The 21,397-nt window shown below is 34.1% G+C and overlaps 1 long non-coding RNA gene across 3 annotated transcripts; it reads right to left on the bottom strand.

Moving 5' to 3' along the window:
• Window positions 1-594: 594 nt before the first annotated feature.
• On the bottom strand, window positions 595-20,140 carry LOC105375370 (uncharacterized). 3 transcript variants are annotated; one of them, XR_927705.4, is made up of 5 exons: window positions 20,098-20,140; window positions 18,911-19,075; window positions 18,320-18,424; window positions 4,169-4,275; window positions 595-1,360 (listed from the first exon to the last, which is right to left on the bottom strand). It is a non-coding gene; the product is annotated as an uncharacterized LOC105375370 (long non-coding RNA). The 3 variants fall into 3 exon arrangements; XR_927706.4 differs by lacking the exon at window positions 20,098-20,140 and adding an exon at window positions 19,172-19,618; XR_001744960.2 differs by lacking the exons at window positions 595-1,360; window positions 4,169-4,275 and adding an exon at window positions 6,382-6,924.
• Window positions 20,141-21,397: the final 1,257 nt, after the last annotated feature.

The raw sequence follows: 21,397 nt of genomic DNA, 5'->3' as shown, positions 1-21,397 counted from the left end.
GAAGTTTATCTCATTCCTTTTTGCTGTAACGGTTAAAGGGACACCCCTTACATGCTGTCTACATTCTGGAGCCAGAAAGTGTTCTTAACTCTTTGAAGTTTCTTGGAAAATTCTCAAAAAAGATATGTTTTCTCTTTAAAATTAGTGTACTTAGAGTGGTGTGCTGGAACTAGCTAGTACCAGCTCAATAGAGTTGCTTGTATATTTTCAGGAATTTTATAAGCTACTTGCATCATCCATGGCGAGAATATCCAACCATAAAATAAGCAAATGCTGCAAATAAGGGTGTTTCTTTTTTTTTTCCTTCTAGAGAGTCAGTTTTTAAACACTAACCAGCATACCCTACATGATAAATCATAGGAATATGGGTAAGAATCTCAGATGAAAGCTAGGAAATTATAGGTAAAAATATGAAAACAGTTAGGAATTAATATTTTTTGTGTGTACAAATGGCTATCAACACTGAATATAAAACCAGGAAAATATCCAGAAAGTGAATATACATGGAGTAAAAAACAGACAACGCTGATCTTGCAAAATTTTTATTCTTTGGGAAAATTAGGCACAAGGATGAATGAATGAATGTATATCAACAGTGGGATGGGGCAGGGTGCAGTAAAAAAGCAAGCAATAGTAGATATAGGACATTTTCTATTCCAGTAATTTATTCAATAAAATGATTCTAAAATTTATCCAGGGTAGTTCAAAGCGTCATTTTCACTTTATGGCATGAGGTTAAGCATAAGATTGAGAATATTTTGTTTTAGATTACGTATCAAGTCTAAATTTTTAAAAATCTACTTGCAAATATTATGAACAAACTCTCTGGCTGTCTTTCATACTTCACTGAGAAATTGGAGGTGAATTTCAAACTCTTTCCACCTTTAATCATACATATGGATGACCTTGTTTTTAACAATAATATTTTCAACATTATTATCAATCAAGACTTTTTATTTTCAAAGACTCTTGCTCTAATCTTGTAAAGTTATAAGAGTTTAATCAACACAGTCAGGACTTCTAGATTTATTTTCCCATAACTGAAGCCAGATATAAAGGGCTCTTGAATTTGTTCACTGAAATACTATTTTTCCTCAAAGTGAAAATTGTGCTCTTTATGAGAAAGTTAATATGGAAAAGCACATTTATGTGATCATAAATTGAATTCGAAAGAATGTATAAAATTAAACTCTCACTTTTCTCCTGTACCAATGAAGATTTAATACAGCTCCACTGAATAAAAACCAAGGTTTCCAATTTACATAATTGCCGATTTTGATGTTACCCAATGATTATAAATACCTCTTGGGTAAATTGTGTAGCTCTCCTTTTTTTCTGCACTTCTCAATGAATGGTCTGTCTGGAAAATAGCCAATAAATTGCTGTCAATAACATTTTGAAAATGGAATATTTTCAAATATCACATAATTGAAATTCAAAGTGTTTTCATTTAATTATATTGTTATTCATATTGGTATTAATGGCTATAAATTAGCAATGATATGAATACTAGAAAAATAATTAGATATAATGGTTGTTTACAAAGAAAGGTACAACTTCTTTGCTTCTTCATGTCAAAATGTCATTATAGTATGGAGTATAAGGTCTCCTTTAGAACATATTCAACTAGAGACCAAAAGTTTAAGAAGGTTTTTATGGAAAAACAATTTTCCAGTGGATATGTAATCATGTAATCAGGTGATCCTTTTACCACTGCTATGTAAGGCATAGGATACAATTGTAATATATATGTGTATTTATTTTACAATTGTATTATATATGTGTATCTATATTACAATCATATCATTGTGTGTGTATATGTATCTATACACATATTTTTACATATAATTTTCTTACCAATAACATAGTCATACATATGCTCCTATCAGATATTGTTTTTCAGCAGCCTTGGCAAGCAATAGTTCATTTTATTTAAAACTATCTGTGTTTTGTTATTGCTGTTCCTCTGCTGAAGCTGTCTTTATTGAGGTAATATCTACATTTATCTCTTTCTATATGTTTCTCAATACATTTATACAATTATTTTGTTTTCCTGATGTATTTGCTATAAAACGTTTAGTGGCAGTTGTAATAATAGTAACAATATTTCCTTGAGTTGTCTTCATTTTGTCCAACCTCCAAAAGTTGTCTTTAAAAATGGCAGTTTATTACCTTCCAACTGCAAGTTCAGACACATTTCTATTATAAGTTTTAATATTCAGGTCTTATTTTAATAGAACTCTCAATGTATGTGAAGGATAGTTTCCAAAGACTATATAAGGAGGATTATCACTGCTTTTGTCACCTCTACATTATCCTCATTAATTTTCCCCAAGAATTACTTTTTTTCATTGTTATACAATATTTATCTTACTTATATCCTTTCACAAAAGTAATTCGACTCAGTAACAGTGATCTGTATATAAAGCATATTCAGTCCAACAAAATATGGAGGAAATAATTTGTTAAAGTGTTTGTATTTGGCTTGAGCTGTTGAAACCTGTGATTGTGCCTCATTCCCTCTATGAAGTAACTTTGAAAACCAAAAACTTAAAGAAACTAGATCTACTCCTCTTCATTTTCCCATATTTATTTTTTCTTTTAATTGAATTGCCTTCTTTGTGTTGCTCTTCTTATTTTCCAGTAATTCTCTTAAAGTCTGAGACAGAGTCTTGTTTGAAGGTTTTTTTCAAGTGTTTAAAACTTTGATAGAAAAGGTTTGTGTGGACGTTCATTAACATTAATGTGTCTCCCCTCCTGGCAACATGCCAAAAATATCTGCCTCCCGCAATCAAATACATAATTTCTTATTTTTTATTCATCATTAAAAAATATTCATTGGGAAGTATACTCAAATAACCCAAGGTAAATGAGAAGTGGTTGCTGGTCTCTAAGAGCTCTCCCTCAGGAGAGTGGGGACCACCAATGGATATGCTAGGAAGGAATAAGAAAGAGACATGAAACTAGAGAGAACAGTGGCTGCTTTGAGCTTCCAAACTGTGCAATTTTATTTCAAAAAAGTTCATGGCATCATTAAAAGCAATATTTATATAAATAATCTTTGGTTAACACACTATTTAACATGATCTTATTAAGGTTTGGGGAAAGGAAAAAATGCAGAAGTTTCCTGATAATAAAGGATAACATAACTTTCACTGGAGAAAATGCATAACGCATTTCAGGACCAGAAGCAGATTTTACTTTTCTTTTACTGGAGGTCAATTTTGTCATATTGAATGTATATTTGGGTTTTAAAGCACTTTATGTTCCCAGAATTCACTCATCATTGGCCTTGTTTCTCTCAAACTGTCATTTTCAAGACTGTTGTATCCTATGAGTTAACGTTTTTTAGGAGATCAAGGTTCGGTTCTTTGTTATTCTTGTAAATAAGTAACAGGGAAGAATGACATAAAGTAACCTGGTTTGAATCTAATTTTTAAAAAATCGAACCAGGACATGCAAAATCACCAAGTTCTCAGAATTAAAATGAAAGATTACTTTTCCAGATATCTTCTCTATACTAAAAGAGACAGCTACTTTAGCATATTGTCAGTCTGAATGAGTTCACTAGCAGCTGTCACACAATTTTAGCCAATTTCCTGCAGTCACATAGAGAACAATGTCATCACAATAACAAGGAATGTCATTAACTGTTACTAGAATGTACATATGTTACTTGTAAAATTTTCATTAAAATATGTGTTGTTCACTCAAGACTGCATTACTTAAAATAGCTTGATAGTTTGGGGCATTGGTAAGAAGGCTCTGTTCAGACAAAGCCATCAAAAGCAATATGTATTTCTTCCTCAGATAAGACATTGTGTCTCATGTTTAACAGTAAACTATGTTTTGAAGTGATGACAGGCAGTGTCAACACTGGTGATATTTATGCTGGATTGCCAATGCCAACGCTTTGGTATTACTTGGGTATTAGAATTTTTGAGAGAATAGACACTAACGTAGATTGACTTAAGCAAAACAAGTAAACAACAAATAAAAACTATTTCATATGAAACATTGGGCCATCTTGTCTCACAGAATCCAATCCAAGAGAAAATTTCCTTGCAAGTTTTCTACAAAGAAAAGCTCTTAGTCTCAATGACAGGGTTTAACTACCCCACCTTAAAAGCTGAACTATTTCTAAGGCTAACCTTCTAATGCTACTCACCATTTCCATATCTCAGACCAACATTCCAACACTAGGAAAAATAGCTAGGATCATAGTGTGTAAACGTAGCCACAGGTGGGTCCATCTGTGAGAGTGAAGTTAAGATCCTAGCAAAGAAATGTCAGATATTACACCACAGTATGTTACATCTCTAGAAATTTCTGAAAAAAAAATCAAGCAAAGGAAAAAAATCTAAAACTAAGAAGTGCAATAAATAATTAGGCCCACACCAAAAATAAATTGTTTTAGAAAAAACGTTCAGTTATTGGGTGAACTATAACACTGTGCAATGTTGATTAGATTTAACACATATGGAAATTAACATTGGATCTTCCTTATTGGGAAAAATCACACTCAATGCAATTACCTCCTTGACTAAGGCTCTCCAAGAAGAGAGCAAAACTGGGGTCAGAAAAAAGCAAAACTCAGTCCAATAGCCAGGACAATGGGAAACATGAAATTTATTCAATATACTTTGAGTAGGTCTACTCTTTCAAGTAGAGGCTAATTCACATTAATACCATACCCAACCACATAAAACCCACTTGGCTTTTTTGTTTATTCCCCAGAGAAAAATCTACTTTGCAGCAGTAGATTATTTCTAAATGAATTCATTAAAAGCATTGCAAATATACTCTGTTCTTTAATTCATCAGTTGGGCATTCATAAATTTGTCAGTTTTGTCAGAATTAATAAGCTTGTTAATTTCAAATATTTTGCAACAATACCCCTGAAGATCATATTTTGTTTTGAACTTTGCATTTAACATATGTTATTTCTGACTTTAGATTTCTATAAATGATAAGACACTAAATAATAAGCTTCCTCTTTGGCTGTTATTTATACACATCGAAACATTCAATCTTGAAGTCAGAAAAAGCTGTGAGAAAGAGTTTATTTGGGACATAAATTCTCCCCGTAGTTTAATTAAAGATTGGTAATTAGGATTATTATGTGTTGTGGCTTATCTTGAATTCTGATCACTATGTTTTGTTCCCAGTTGGCCCGTTTGATCTTTTCTTTCATGCTCCAAATAGTTTTACCAATTTATGTCTGAAAAAAAAAAATCCTTTGTGACTCAATTTAAAAAATATGTGCCACATCAGTTCAGGGAGAATAATAATGAAGATGTAATTGAAAGGTTATGATGAAGTTATTTCTTTTGAAGTGTGTTCTGACCGAATTTATTTTCCTTATCTATTTTTCTTTTAAGATATAATTAGTATAAACTCATTATAAAATAATTCCCAATTATCATCTGTAGGTTATGTGTATCTGTTTATATATGTATGCATATATAACAATTTCTTCTTTATGATTTTTTAAAACATAGTTATACTTTTAATAATTTCTAAATGGAAAGCATACCATTTTCTTCTTTTTTAACAGGGTAAATAAAATAGCAGAATTTCCTCAAGACTAATCAAATGTTAGATAGCTTTTTTTTTCAGTTTGTCAAAGCTTACTACTTTGATTTATCCAAGAGAGTCTAGAAACTTAGTTGATATAATAAACTATGAATCTCGAATTTAAATGGTTAAGTAATTTGCCAGATTCACAAATCGTGCTTTAGGGTTTTGGGGAGAATAAAAAGATTATGTGCTGGAGAATGTTGGCCAAACCAAATTCAAACATTCTGTGTGACACAATGGGGACATCTTCCATGCTATCTCAATTTCAACCTCATGGAAAATTCATGACTGCCATGAAAAGACCAAGATTGTGAGCTTTATTTAACCCAGCTCTGACACCAGCAAATTCAGGAGAGAAACAAAATCTAGGTATTTTAGTTTTTAATTTTCCTTTGAAAACAAAAAGTTCCATCAAATCCAAGCTTCGGTTTTAAAGCCCATGTTCTTTTGTGCTACAACTTAAAAAGACAAACATATTTTGTTATATTTGTATCTGTACAATTGTTAAAATAATGGACTACTGGCTCCAGTCAATTTGCTATTTCATTGTACCACAGATGGTAATGCTTAAAAAATAAAATAAAATCAAAAGTTTATGAAATGTAGGATTTTTTTAATAAACTGAGGTTGTAATATATTCCTGATAATTAAAACTGAATTATATCAATTTTTATTTCTTATTCTATTAATTTAATTAAAATTTTCTTCTTATGACTATAATTCTTTGACAAACTGAATTCTATAGTGATTTACCACTTAAAATATGTAGATATGGGCATATTAGTAAGAATATATATGGTTTTCTAGTTACTAAAATTCTATTTAAGATAGCAGTCATAAATACGTCTTTTGAGGAATCCTATACCTATCACGTTCATGCTCTGCAGGCAGTTGAAGAAATGGCTTTCTGTTGTTTTTTAACTTATTATTATTATTTTTTTTACCGTGAATCTACTAGCTATTAACACATTATAAAAAAAGTCGTTCTCTTAGTCATGATAGGCGGGGTAAATATTATGGTAATAAACAGCCCCCAAATCTCAATACCTAATGCATTGAAGATTTATTTATCTTTCACACAATTTCTGCTGGGCTTAGGTAATTCTCCAGGACAACTGACCTACATGATGGAAGTCAGTATCCCAGGTTACACCTCCATATCGTCAGAGCTTCGATAACCACAGCAGCAAGATAAGGCACAGCATGAAAAGCCACACACATTCACTTTAACACTTCAATCAGGAAGTGATTCATGGTACCTCTGCTCACATTTTATTGCCAAAGGAAGACCTATGGGATTGCTTAAAGTTCGAGGAGTCAAAAAAGAGCAATCCTCCTATATGCCTGAAAGGAAAAGAGAATCGGAAATATTTATGGGCAATAGTAATATCCACTATACCCTATGAGGTTTTTTTATTTACTTGTTGGGTTTTATTACTTGATTTGTTTTCACGATTGCAGTGTACTTCAGCAGGGGTTGGCAAACCTTTCCTGTATAGAGTAGCATAGTAAAGATTTTCATCTTTGTGGGCTATATCCTCACAAATACTCAGCTCTTTTGTTATAGCATAAAATCAGCAATAGATAATAGGTAAACAAGTGAGCATGGCTGTGTTCCAGAAAAACCTTTTTTATGGCCTGCAGGCCATAGTTTACTGGACCCTGACTTGGAGTAACACCCATCCCTTCTGATACTGGTAGCAAGAAATCCCTTGGCTCTTTCTCTTTTTCATCATTTCTTGGCCTCCTACCAAGGCTTCCTCATCTAGCCATGCAGATTATTGTGCACTGTGTAAACTCAATGGGAATTTTTCACATTGACTACAATAGGAATGGTGCCTCCTGGATTTCTTCCCTGTGGGAGCCCAATCTACTAAACCTTGCATACAAGTTACAAAAATCTCTTATATTTCTGTGTAGATACCAGTGTGTTCTCTTTGCTCTTACAACATAAGTTCAATATAGTACTCAAGGGAATGGGCAAGATGTTGAGGAACTGTACATGCCATAAACATTATCAATATTTTTATTTGATAATGGCTCATTTTGATATATGATTTTTAAATAAAAATTAGCAAATGCAGAAAAATGATGAAATAAAGAAACAAACTATAAAAGTAGTTGTGTTTTTTAATTTAATATTTTCCATTATTATAAACTTATGGCATTATAATTTTTAATGAATCTCTAGTTTTTTATTAAATGAATTAGCTATAGTTTTTTGATCGACTCCCACTTTGGAAGTTTAGCAAGTTTTAAATTTTTGCTAGTAAAAATAATACTAAATGAAATGGTTATACATAAGTATTTGAGCATTTTCTCAGGATAAATTTGTTAAGATAAATTATTTTCTTAGGACAAATTTCTATGGTATATTTTCTAGGTCACCCTTACATATTCTCATTTTAAAAAAATAAGAATGTGCCTATTTCATCTTTTCCTCACCAAGATTGGGTATTATCTTCATACAGTAAATTCATGTAAAAATACACATTCTTGATTATTTGACTATTATTTCCTGATTAACGAATGACTCATTTATCTGGCCATTTCAGGAAACAAATTTACACACAGACACACACATATAACTTTTCCAGGTATGAGTACATACCTATTAGAGAGCATATATTTGCTGTACATTTATCTGCCTTATTACAAAGGGCATAATGTAAACTTTTCTCAAAGGTTCTAAGTTATCATTAAGATAACATAGAATGAAAATTTCAAAGATCTTTATCAATATTAATGAATGTTCACTCTGTGATATATTTGTAGTATTTGACTTTGTTCACCTTGAAGATTTATTATTCTTATGATAAAAATAGAGATAAATAAATACATACAAATGAGTTGGGACTACGCACTAATAAACTGTTTTCTTAATGTCCCTCGGGAAAATCAATCTTATTAATGTGTAGCTATATCTTTACATTATTTATGAGCTTATGTTTTGTAGTTGAATAGTCTGTGTTTGTTCTTATTCTTTCTTGCTGAGTAGTAGGGACAGGGGAAATAAGCAACTCTTCCAGTTAGTCACAGAAAGGGTAGGTACATAGCAATCCTGGAGAAAGATGGTTTTAGAGGAAGTCTATTTGAGGGCTGTTTAAGAAAAAAGTGAGGGCGAGCATTTTATTCCACAGGGATAGGTGGGTTTAGGAGCCCCTATTTCCTGCTATACTTTTGTTTTTCACATTTGTCAAGTTTTCTTAAGATATCCTGTGTACTCCCAAATGTCCCCTCCAATAATGTTTTACTTGTCTACTTGATTCTGTGAGAACACTTTTTTTACATGTCACTTTTTTCAAAGAAAATTGAAAGGTAGCTGTTGACTATAAAATTATGATAATTATTGTTAATTAGTAAGTTTTCCTTTGCCTTTTTAAAATGTCATCTACAATCTCTACCGCTATTTTATTTACTAGACACGTGTTGAAAAAGTAATAATAGAAATACGTTGGAGCAAGACAGAAGAAATAGGAGTAGTGGTCAAGGAAAGAAATTTGAATTTTAGAGTAATAACAGTGTAAAAGGCCTACATTTAAGAAGACAAGTATACTCTATTTTTGTTAATATACACCAGTGAATGAAAGATGTTAACATTAAAAATCTAAAATATATATATTAGCACTGCTTATGAACGATGTCTTGCAAATAATGAAGGCACTATGTCAGTGATGGTAGTACTCCTGACTTTGTATAACCTCAAACTCTAAGAAGCTGTTAGGAGATAACATCATTAGCCAAAAAGATTATCGTTCTCGTCTAATAGGGAAATGAATCAGATAGTTTACAATTGTCCCTTGGTATCCGGGGTCGGGGAAATTGGTTCCACTGGTTTGCACTAGAAAGCGAAAGTTAATGCACAGTACCTATCTATAAGAAAATCAAAAGCAGGCTTGGAAGTAAAGGCAAGCAAAAGTAATTGTAGTAGATGGTAATATTAGTATGATAGTATGATTAGTATAATAATAGAATAATATTACTATGAACAAATACTAATGGACATTAGTATAATATAATAATATAAGGCTGGGCGTGGTAGCTCACGCCTGTAATCCCAGCACTTTGGGAGGCTGAGGTGGGTTCATCACAAGGTCAGGAGATCGAGACCATCCTGGCCAACATGGCGAAACTCCGTCTTTACTAAAAATACAAAAATTACCTGGGTGTGGTGGTGCAAGCCTGTAATCCCAGCTACTCGGGAGGCAGAGGCAGGAGGCTTGAACCAGGGATTTGGAGGTTGCAGTGAGCCGAGATTGCGCCACTGCACTCCAGCCTGGCAGCAGAGCGAGACTCTGTCTCAAAAAAAGATATATATATATATATATGTATGTATAAAATAATGGTAGTATAATATAATAATATTAGAACTTTGGGAGTACATATGGGTGATTACTTTTATTCTGGATATCAGACTAGGTTTCATAGAATAATTAACACATGATTTAGACCTTAAAGAATGAGTTGTGTTTTTCCAGCCTTGTCTTTTCAGAGGTTTCCAAGAGCCAAATATATCACAATGTCAAATGGGCTGCATCAGGAAGCAGTAAATTTTCTATTACTGAAGATGACAGCACACAAACTGGACAAAGCTTACCCAGAATGTTGTGGTGGGCCCTTAAGCATCTATGTTGGGGTGTTTGTCAGATAACTTTACTTCTCTAAGTTCCTTCTTCCTTGAGATAATAATCTTATAAACTATCTGAGCTGGGGGAGTTGTTGGGGTGAGGAGAGAGTGGGAGGGAGAGAAAGAGAGAGAGACAGAGAGAAAGAGAGAGACAGAGACAGAGAGAGACAGATAGAGAAAGAGATAGACAGAGAGATGTAAATGCATTCCAGGCAAATGGCAAGCATATATAAAGTTCTACGAGTGACTTATATATTTGGAAAATTTGGAATAGGCTTATGTGACCAGGATGAATAATGGTAGGAGTACATTGGTGAAGAGGGAAGTAAAAGTGGAAAGAGATAAGAGATGGAAAGTACAAGCTGAGTTCAGATTAACAAGATCCTCAAACATAATGTTAATACATTTTAAATTTATTCTATTAGCTACTGAAATACAACAAAGATTTTGGAGTAAGAAAGGTGAACAAGTTTGGAAAAAATCGAGTGAAGATATCATCATTTGAAAAATTGAAAAACATCATAGGCCGGGCACGGTGGCTCACGTCTGTAATCCCAGCACTTTGGGAGGCCGAGGCCGGGGGATCACGAGGTCTGGAGATTGAGACCATCCTGGCTAACACTGTGTAAACCCTGTCTCTACTAAAAATACAAAAAATTAGCCGGGCGTGGTGGCAGGTGCCTGTAGTCCCAGCTACTGGGGAGCTTGCAGTGAGCCGAGATCGCACCACTGCACTCCAGCCTGGGTGACAGAGTGAGACTCCCTCTCAAAAAAAAAAAAAAAAAAAAAAAAAAATCATGTAAGATGTTTAGTGGGCCTCTGTTATTTTTGCCCACAAAGCATTTCTCCTTCTCTTGCTAAAAGTACTCTCTTTTTCTTTTAGAATTACCTCTTTCATTATAAGCAGTCTTAGTAAAACTGTCAATTAAGAATTTGTAAAACTATCAATTAAGAAGGAAAAATAATCGAAGCTAGAAAGTGAAGTTCCCCTTCAATTTGGATCTTGTGCAAAGCATCACAATTGGAGCTAATGATTCTCCCACAATGACTGTGCCTTAAAAAGATTGTTTACTAGTTCACAAAATCTAAATCTGAAGGGCTGCTTTGTTCTTGTTTTTCCTGGTGGTTAGTCAGAGTTCATTTCTGTTGTTTACAAACAGAGAATATTAATTCACAGCCACAACAACCCTGTGTGAAAATAAGTATATGCTTCTCACATTACCAGGTCACATAGTAAGTGACATCTTTGGTATTATTTTAAAAATAATGCTGGATATCAGCAAAGTGGTGGATCAGCAAGTTCTGAACACTCCTTTCCTCCACAGACACAGTGATACAGTGATTCAACAATACACAGACCAATTCCCTTGGTGAGTAACTGGATTCTAACATACATGATGGGTGAGGAATTGGGTTGTTGTTATTTAGATACTATGCAAAAGTTGACTTTTACTTGTCACAAATGACAAGTAAACATAGAAAAAAAATAATCAAGTTTGGGAAAGGCTAATAGAATACAATTCTGGATGCTTTGTTCTACCTATGTCTGGCTCTTGTAGCCTCATTCCTCTTAGAAAAATAGAAACTGGGAAATGGCAATATGACCGTTCTACTGGAAATCTTATTAGAATTTTCTATCCAAACTAAGAAAGACTATGTTTTCATAGGTAATAATTATTTCATTTTCTCTCATTCTCTAGTGCCCCTTATGCTGCCCTGGGGCATGGTAGGCAGACAGCAACACTTTATTGTTTCTTCTTTGCTCTTAACAGCCTTGAATCAAACCCTAAGCATCCCTTGGCCATAACTGTCATATTCACACCACAATAGGGGCTTCCAAGTCCATAGAGTATTATGGAGGCCACAGAGGAGTGCACACTCTCTGGGATCACTTCCAGAGTCAGAGAGGTGATTATTTCATTTGTGGTGACATCTGGAAGCCTTTATTATTATTATTTCTGTGCATAGAATTCTTCAGAATTTCTCTAGGAAATACTATCTAAATTGTTAATGTTCATTTTCAACATTTCATTATTTGTTGTTGTAAAGAAATCTACATATCTGGACCAAATAGAATATTGTAATTATACTGCGGATAGAGCCAGACTCTTCTTATTTCATGTATTCATTCACTTATTTAACATATATTTATGGAGTGCCATATTAGTCGGGGTTCTCTAGAGCAATAGCACTAACAGTATATATATGAAAATTAATGATAATTGGCTTGCATGATTATGAAGGCTGAGAAGTCCCTTATTATGCTATTTGGATACCACTTTCTTACTGGAGACCCAAGGCAAATTGGTGGTATAATTCAGTCCAAGGCCAAAGACCTGAGGGGGGCAGTCACTGGTGTAAATCTTAGTCTGAAGACCCAAGAAAAAAGAGCTCCAGTGTCTAAGGGCAGGAGAAGATGGATGTCCCAGCTCAAGAAGAGAAAGAGAGAATGTGCCCTTCATCTGCCTTTTTGTTCTACTGAGTCCCTCTACAGATTGGATAATGCCCACCCATGCTGGTGACGGCAGATCTTCTCTACTCAGTTTACTGACTCAAATGCTAATTCTTTGAGAAGTGTCTGTTCATGTCCTTTGCCCATTTTTTAATGGTGTTATTTGTTTTTTGCTTATTGATTTGTTTAACTTCTTTATAGATTCTGGACATCAGACCATTGTTGAATGCATAGTTTGCAAATATTTTCTGTAGGTTGTCTGTTTACTCTGTTGATAGCTTCTTTTGCTGTGCAGGAGCTCTTTCATTTAATTAGATTCCCACTTGTCCGTTTTGCTTTTATTGCAATTGCTTTAGCAGACTTAGCCAAAAATAATTTGCCCCAGCTGATGTCAAAAAGGGTATCTCCTAGGTTTTCTTCTAGGATTTTTATAGTTTGAGGTGTTACACTTAAATCATTAATCCACATTGAGTTAATTTTTGTACATGGTGTAAGAAAGGGGCCCAGTTCATTCTTCTGCATGTGGTTAGCCAGTTATCTCAGCACCATATACATAGAAAGTCCTTTCCCCATTGCTTGGTATGTCGGCTTTGTTGATGGTCAGATGGCTGTAGGTATGCGGCTTTATTTCTGGGTTCCCTATTCTGTTCCCTTGGTCAAAGTGTCTGTTTTTGTTCCAGTGCCATGCTGATTTGGTTACTGTATCCTTAAAGTTACTTTGAAGTAGGTAATGTGATGCTTTGTTCTTTTTGCTGAGGATCACTTCAGCTATTTGGGCCCTTTTTTGGTTCCATGTTAATTTTAGAATAGTTTTTCTAATTCTGTCAAAAATGATGTTGGTAGTTTGATAGGAATAGCACTGAATCTGTAAGTTGCTTTGGGCAGTGTGGCCATTTTAACAATATTAGTTTTTCCAATCCATGAACATGGAATTTCTTTTATTTACTTGTGTCATCTCTATTTCAGCAGTCTTTTGTAGTTCTCTTCATACAGATATTTCCTCTCCTTGGTTAGCTGTATTCCTAGGTATTTCAGTTTTTTATGTGGCTACTATAAATGGAGTTGTGTCCTCGATTTGGCTCTCAGCTTCAAAGTTACTTGCTTACAGAAGTGCGACTGACTTTTGTACATTGATTTTGTATTGTGAAACTTCATTGAAGTCATTTATTAGTTACAGGAGTCTTTTGGCAAAGTCTTAGGGTTTTCCAGTTATATAATTATATTGTCAGTGAAGATAGTTTGGTAACTTCTTTTCCTATTTGGTTGTCTTTTTTTTTTTCTCTTGCCTGATTGCTCTGGCTATGACTTCCAATACTATGTTGAATAGGAGTGATAAGAATGGGCATCCTTGTCTTATTACAGTACTCAAGGGGAATTGTTCCAGCTTTTGCCTATTCAGTATGATGTTGGCTGTGGATTTGTCACAGACGGCTCTTATTATTTTGAGGTATGTTCCTCCAATGCCTCTAATCTGTTAAGGGTTTTTATCATGAAGATGTGTTGGATTTTATCAGAAGCTTTTCTCGTGTCTATTGAGATAATCATATGTGTTTTGTTTTTAATTCTGTTTATGCGGTGCATCACATTTATTGATTTCTATACATTGAGAGAAGATGATATGGTTTGGCTCTGTGTTCCCACCCAAATCTCACCTTAAATTGTAGCAATCCCCATGTGATGTGGGAGGGATGCAGTGGAAGGTAATTGAATCATGGAGGCAGGTTTTCTTCCATGCTGTTCTCATGTTAGTGAATAAGTCTCACAAGATCTGATGGTTTTATACAGGAGAGTTCCAGCGTGCATGCTCTCTTGCCTGCCGCCAGGTAAGACGTGGCTTTGCTCCTCCTTTACCTTCCTCCATGATTGTGAGGCCTCCTCAGCATTGTGGACATGTGCACCAATTAAACTTCTTTTTTTTTTTTAAATAAATTACCCAGTCTCGGGTATGTCTTCATTAGCAGTGTGAGAATGGACTAATATAGAAGACATACTAGTAGCCAGCAAAGCAATGAAAAAATGCTCATCATCATTAATCATCAGAAAAATATAAATCAAAACCACAATGACATACCATCTCACACTAGTCAGAATGGCTATTACAAACTCCAATAATAGCAGATGCTGATGAAGCTGCAGAGAAAAGGCAACATTTATACACTGTTGGTTGGAATGTAAATTAGTTCAACAACTGTGGAAAGCAGTTTGGAGATTTCTCAAAGAACTTAAAAGAAAACAGAGCTACCATTGAATCCAGCAATTCCATTACTAGGTTATACCCAAAATAAAATAAATAGTTCCACCATAAAGACACATGCACTCATAATGTTCATTGCAGCACTATTCACAATAGCAAAGACATGACATAACCTAGGTGTCCATCAACATTAGATTGGATTGGGTAAAGGATACAACATGGAATATTATGTAGTCATAAAAAAGAATAACACAACATCTTTTGCAGCAACGTGGATGCAGCTAGAGGTCACAATCCTAAGTGAATTAATACAGAAACAGAAAAGGAAATACCATATATTCTCACCTATAAGTGGGAGCTAAACATTAGGTACTCATGGGCATAAATATGAGAACTATAGACATTCTGGACTACTGGGGGGGAGGGAAGGAAGGGGTGTTGGTTGAAACGCTACCTATTGGATACTATGCTCACTACCTGGGTGGCAGGATCTGAACCCCAAACCTCAGCATCATGCAATATATGCGTGTAACAAACCTGCACATCTACCCTCTGTATTTAAAATAAAAGTGAAAATGTTTTTTAAAGTGCTAATCGTTCCTGGAAACACCTTCACAGACACATTCAGAAATAATGTTTTGCCAGCTACCTGGACATTTCTTAGACTGATCAAGTTATGCATAAAATTATCCATCATAGATACTTACTAAGAGCCAATCACTTTGCTAGGCACTGACTATTGAGTAGCATAAAAGATAAACATAATCTGACCTTGTGGAGCTTGAATTATATTAAGGGAGACTTTGCACCAAATTAAGCATATATATTAATGGTAGTCTTGCCCGTGTCCTCAATATATTAAATTCTATGCTCTAATGTCACCTACTCTGAAAAGACATTCCCAGGACAACATGTCTAGATTCTTGAGTAAGAAAGATACTACAATTTGCTTTTCTATTTAGTCATATAATAGCATTAATATATTTGTAGTATATATATACATAAATCATATATGTTACATATAATAAACATACATAAAATATTAAACATGTAACATATTTAAACTGTAATATAATCTATAACAAAGCAGGGGAACATTTATTTGTTATTTAACACATAAATTTTATTTGAAAAACAGAGAACTCATAGCAGAATACAGAACAGGAAAATGAAGATCAGTGTAATGGAAAAGACTTTTTTTCATTTCTAATGACACAGAATAATATGAAAAGCACTTTAAAATGTTAAGTGTTTTATTTACTTCTTTTTGTTGTTGAATGTGAAATGACTATGAAAATGTATGAAAAAATAATGGTTTTTCTCTAAAAAGTACACAGTTAAAAATACGCCCATCTCAAAATGAAAAATAGCATTTCATGTTAGTTATCATATACTGGTAACTAGATAAGTATGCATGAAAATGTGAGTGTGATACTAATACATCATGCAAGAAAGCCAAGCAATAAACCCTCACTTTCTCAAGAAAAAGTACCCATTATCTTTTACACTCCAAAAACAACTTTTGTATTTTTATAAAGTAGTAGTAGATGTATTTTCAGTTCTTCAGACTCTGTTCAAGCTACTGAGTTTTAAGCTGATTTAATTTTACAAAAGTGCAAAGAAGGTTAATTTGCATTTTTCTATTACTGCTTATTGTTTTTATTTTCCCCCTCCTGACCTGCCTTTCATTAGTTAGATTTTTGTCATTATTTCTTTTCTGATAACTTGAAAGTTGGAATTGTGAGGCAATTTTTTATTTGAATGATTATATCTAAATTCTTAAGACCTATTCCCCTATTTGATCTCCTTTATAAATTTCTAAACCTTATCAATGCCTAGATTTTTGCTAAAAACAAGACTATTACTTTAGGCTTTTTACCTTCTGTTGTCCTTGACATTCTACCTTATAAACTTTCTTATATGTTAAGAAAAATTTTTGGCTCACAAAACTGGAAGACCAGATAGAAGTCAGGCTTCAAGATTGGCTTGATCTAGTCACCCTATCTCTGTTTTTCAGTAATTCTGTCCAATATAATTTATTCAAATTCACTCTGTGCTTGCTTCATTGCCAGCCTCAATTTTTTTTTTTTTTCCTGATGGAAAAGTGGCTATAGTATAATGTCAGACATCTGACCCCTACATCAGGAAGAAGGAAACCTATCTCTTTTGGTGGATCTCTTTTAAGAGGGAAGAAACTTCATTTCCAAAATCCTCCAGCAAGTCATTGTCCATGTCTCTTAGCCTCATCTTAGTTCATATATTCAATTTATATCCTTCATTTTGCCTAAGGGTAATGCTGTATGATGATTGGCTGAGGCCTGTATCGTTGAACCAGTCATTATTACTCTTGAACAATAAAATTTGAAACTTCAAAGTGGAATTTAGGTCAGTTGCCCTTAACGCAAATGAGATATTTGGAGAATTTTGAATTTTCTCATTTTAAAAATCAAGTCATTGATTAAAAGAGGAAACAGGCAAGGCTCAGTGGCTCACAACTGTAATCTCTTCAACACTTTGGGAGGCAGAGGTGAGCGGATTACTTGAGTTCAGGCTCAGGAGTTGGAGACCAACCTGGGCAATGTGGCAAAACCCCATCTTTCCAAAGAAAAGAAAAAAAAGAAAAGAAAAGAAAAAAAAGAAAAGAAAAGAAAAGAAGAAAGAGAGAAAGAAAGAAAGAGCAGAAAAGAAAGAAAGAAAGAAAGAATTAGCCGAGTATGGTGGCGCATGCTTGGGAGGAGCAGTTAAGCACAGAAGGTGGAGGTTGCATTAAGCTATGAGTGCACCACCGCACTCTAGTCTGGGCAAAAGAGTGAGACTTTGTCTTAAAAAAAAAAAAAGAAAGAAAGAAAGAAAGAAATTAAAAGTAAATAAATAAAATAAAAGAGAGAACAGATGAATAGTTACCAACAATAATCTCTCCATTCATTATCACCATATTTATTTAAAATGTACGCCAAGTCTTAAACAGTTTTGAAGAACAAGAAAAATTAAAAATAAAAGGAGATATAAATATTGGAAATCAGTGACTTGGAAGGGTTACAAATTTGTCATTTTATAATATTATCTTACAAGAAATCAATTAGAGCTCACTGAAAGTATAGATTATTGGATAAGATAACTGGGTACAAGATCAACACTTGAAAATATTCCACATCAGCGTAACTGATTAGAATTTGTAATAATTTATTATATATTCATACTCATAATAGTCAGTCACAAATCTCTGTTAAATGTTAAAATAAACCTAATACATAATATGCAGTATCTGTATGTTTAAAGTTATAAAACCTTACTAAAAGACTTAAAATGGGTAAAGGACTGAAGAGCATGATTAAATATTTAAATTTTTACAAAATAAAATGTAGAAAGAACAAAAAATAAGCCACAACATTCCTCACCAATATTTCTTTGGCATAGTCAAGGGAAAAAAATATTCCATATTCTAACTGCTTTTACTTTAACATACCTTAAATAGAATCAGGAGCCACAACTCTGTAAGTACACATTCATGTGAGTTCAGTTTGTCGATTTTTAGTAATATAACTTGTTGAAAGGACGAAGTTTACAATACCTAAAGAATGGAAGAAGAGTTTACATTTTATTCTGTGGCTTCTGGAAATGATCTAATTCAGTGTTTCTCATCTCTGTCTGCATGGTAGAATCACCTGGGATCTTTAAAAATTATTGATGTCTAAGTCTGTGCTGACCAATTACATCATATTTCTGGGAGTGATACCAGGCCTCTGGAATTTTTGAAAGTTTCCCAGGTGATTCTAAAGTAAATCCTGTGTGACAATCTCTGACTAAATTCCCTAACACAGGCTCTGTGACAATCGTGAGGAACTGCAGAAAAGAAAGAATACAATAGCATTTTTCTGGAAATTTAGAAATACTGTTATAAATTGTTGGGCTACAAAGAAATTGATGAGCAAAACATCTTAACCATTCCAAGACAATATGCTTTAAAAGACTAAAATGATTAGAGAACAGGGCAGAATGTTTTGGAATCAAAACATCTTTCATTCTTATAAAAGTATAAAATTGCCCAGAAAATTACTTGGTGTGTTGCCATGAGAGATTCTATAGATGTGTCCATTTCCTAATGCTGAAGCAGACATCCAGCCCCAAAGGAGACTCAGACGCGGTCAAGAGGATGCAGACCAGAGTGGATGATGAGGAGGTGGTAAAGGTCAGGTGCAGATCTGGGGGCCAGAAAGCTTAGCTGAAACAAAAAAAATTCAAAAGCAGGCCGAAAATTATGTAGAACCAAACCTGAGATTTCATGATACATTGTGATTTTCTTTATTCCAGTCCTGACCTTAACAGTGGCTTGGAGACAACAAATGCTGTGTTTCAGGGCATTACTGTTCAGTGCTATTTCCTCGAGATGATTTCTGCTTCACCTATATCAAATATCAATTGTGAAGCATCTGAAAAGAAGTTGTTTAGCAAGCAACAAGTTACAAGGTCTTATTCAGGCATATTATTAGTATTATCAGAAGGCTATTTTCATAATTCATAGGGCTTCGTTAAAATATGTTGAAATAACGTTTAAAATAGAGTTATTTTAGGCTGGATCTTTCCAAGTTAAATTTTGTGGGAAAATATTCCCCACTGGATGATTCTGAACAAGCTTTGCCTCTGGAAAGGGTGATGTTAAAATAATTTTGGCAGTAATTTGATGTATTAACTTTCTTTTTCTGTGATTGTTGTTTTAGCAATTTTTTTTTTTAATTTAAGGTGATCATTTGTAAGAACATGGATAAACCTGAAAGAAGTTATGCTAAAAGTCAGTCAGTCAAAGAAAGACATATTTCATGGCTGCTCTTACATGAGGCATCTAGCCAAATATACAGAAGTTAGACAACAGAATGGTGGACACTAGGAGATGAAGTTAGGTGAAAATATGGGGAGTTGTTCAATTGATGTAATGACACACTACACAAGAGAAAATGCCAGAGATCTACTGTATCACATAGTGCCTATAGTTAACAATACGGTATTGTATAAATTGAACTAGCACTGTTTTTTTATTAAGAGGGTAGATCTCATGCTAAATGTTCTTGCCACAAAACAAAACAACAACCAAAAAACACAAAAAAGGAAGAAAAGGAAACTTTTGGAGGTAATAGGTATGTTTATTACCTCAACTATTGTGACTGGAACACGACTGTATATATATGTGTCCAAACTCACCAAATTGTATACATTAGTTATATGCAATTTTTCATATACCAGTTATACCTCAATAAAGCTGGAAAGGGCCAACCATAGTGGCTTGCACTTGTAATCCCAGTACTTCAGGAGGCTGAGGCGGGAAGATTGCTTGACCAAAGGAGTTTGAGAACAACCTGGGCAACACAGCAAGACTCTGTCTCTGCAAAACATTTTAAAATTAGCCAGGCATGGTGGCACACTCCTGTAGTCCTAGCTACTTAGGAGGCTGAGGCAGGAGGATCTCAAGTCCAGGAGTTTAGGGTTATGGTGAGCTATGATTACACCACCAGACTTTACCCTGCAAGACAGAGCAATTCTTTCTCAAAAATAAAAAGCTGGGGCCGGGCGTGGTGGCTCACGCCTGTTAACCCAGCACTTTGGGAGGTCGAGGTGGGAGGATCACGAGGTCAGGAGATCGAGACCATCCTGGCTAACATGGTGAAACCCCGTCTCTACTAAAAATACAAAAAATTAGCCGGGCGTGGTGGCGGGCGCCTGTAGTCCCAGCTACTCGGGAGGCTGAGGCAGGAGAATGGCGTGAACCCGGGAGGCGGAGCTTTCAGTGAGCCGAGATCGCGCCACTGCACTCCAGCCAGGGAGACAGAGCGAGACTCCATCTCAAAATAAATAAATAAATAAATAAATAAATAAATAAATAAATAAATAAATAAATAAAATAAAAAGCTCGAAAAAAATAAATATTTTTGATTCAGTGTCTTTAACTGTTAATACTAAGAATATGTCTTTGTGGGATGATATAACAGAAAGAAAAGATCTACAAAAAGAAGTGACAATCATTATTTTAAGTTAAAAATGCTATATAGCCTTTTAAGTTTGGCAAATAAATATTTTCTTATTAAATTCTATGTTTAATAATCTCCACATTATTCACACATTATATGTTAAAACTCTTTCTAGCATGGCAGAGTACCATTTTCTTTACTTCTTAATAATATAGGCAAAAATATTAGAGCTTAAGAGTTGATCATCTATAAAACATTAAATCAAATTTATAAGAAGAGAAATTTCCTACTGATCTATTTGCACCTTTTTATTTACCCTGTGACATTCAACTATTCTACCAGATACTTTTATGCTTCTTAGTCATATTAAAGTCTTCATAACCATAATCAATGTCTCCAGTGTTGAAATATAAGATGTTATATAGAAAATGTTAAAAATACTTACATCCTTATAAATAATAATTTATTTTTAGCTGATACACCAATTGAAGTTCCACTGAACTGTGTTTACTGGATCACAGTTCTACTGAATACTCTTAATGCCCTTTGGATAGGCCTAGCAAACCCTGGCAAACCAGGAATAT

The sequence above is a fragment of the Homo sapiens genome, chromosome 7, assembly GCF_000001405.40.
Source record: "Homo sapiens chromosome 7, GRCh38.p14 Primary Assembly".
Taxonomy (NCBI): Eukaryota; Metazoa; Chordata; class Mammalia; order Primates; family Hominidae; genus Homo; species Homo sapiens.
Note: the sequence above shows the minus strand (reverse complement) of the source record. Positions and strands in the feature narration are given on the sequence as shown.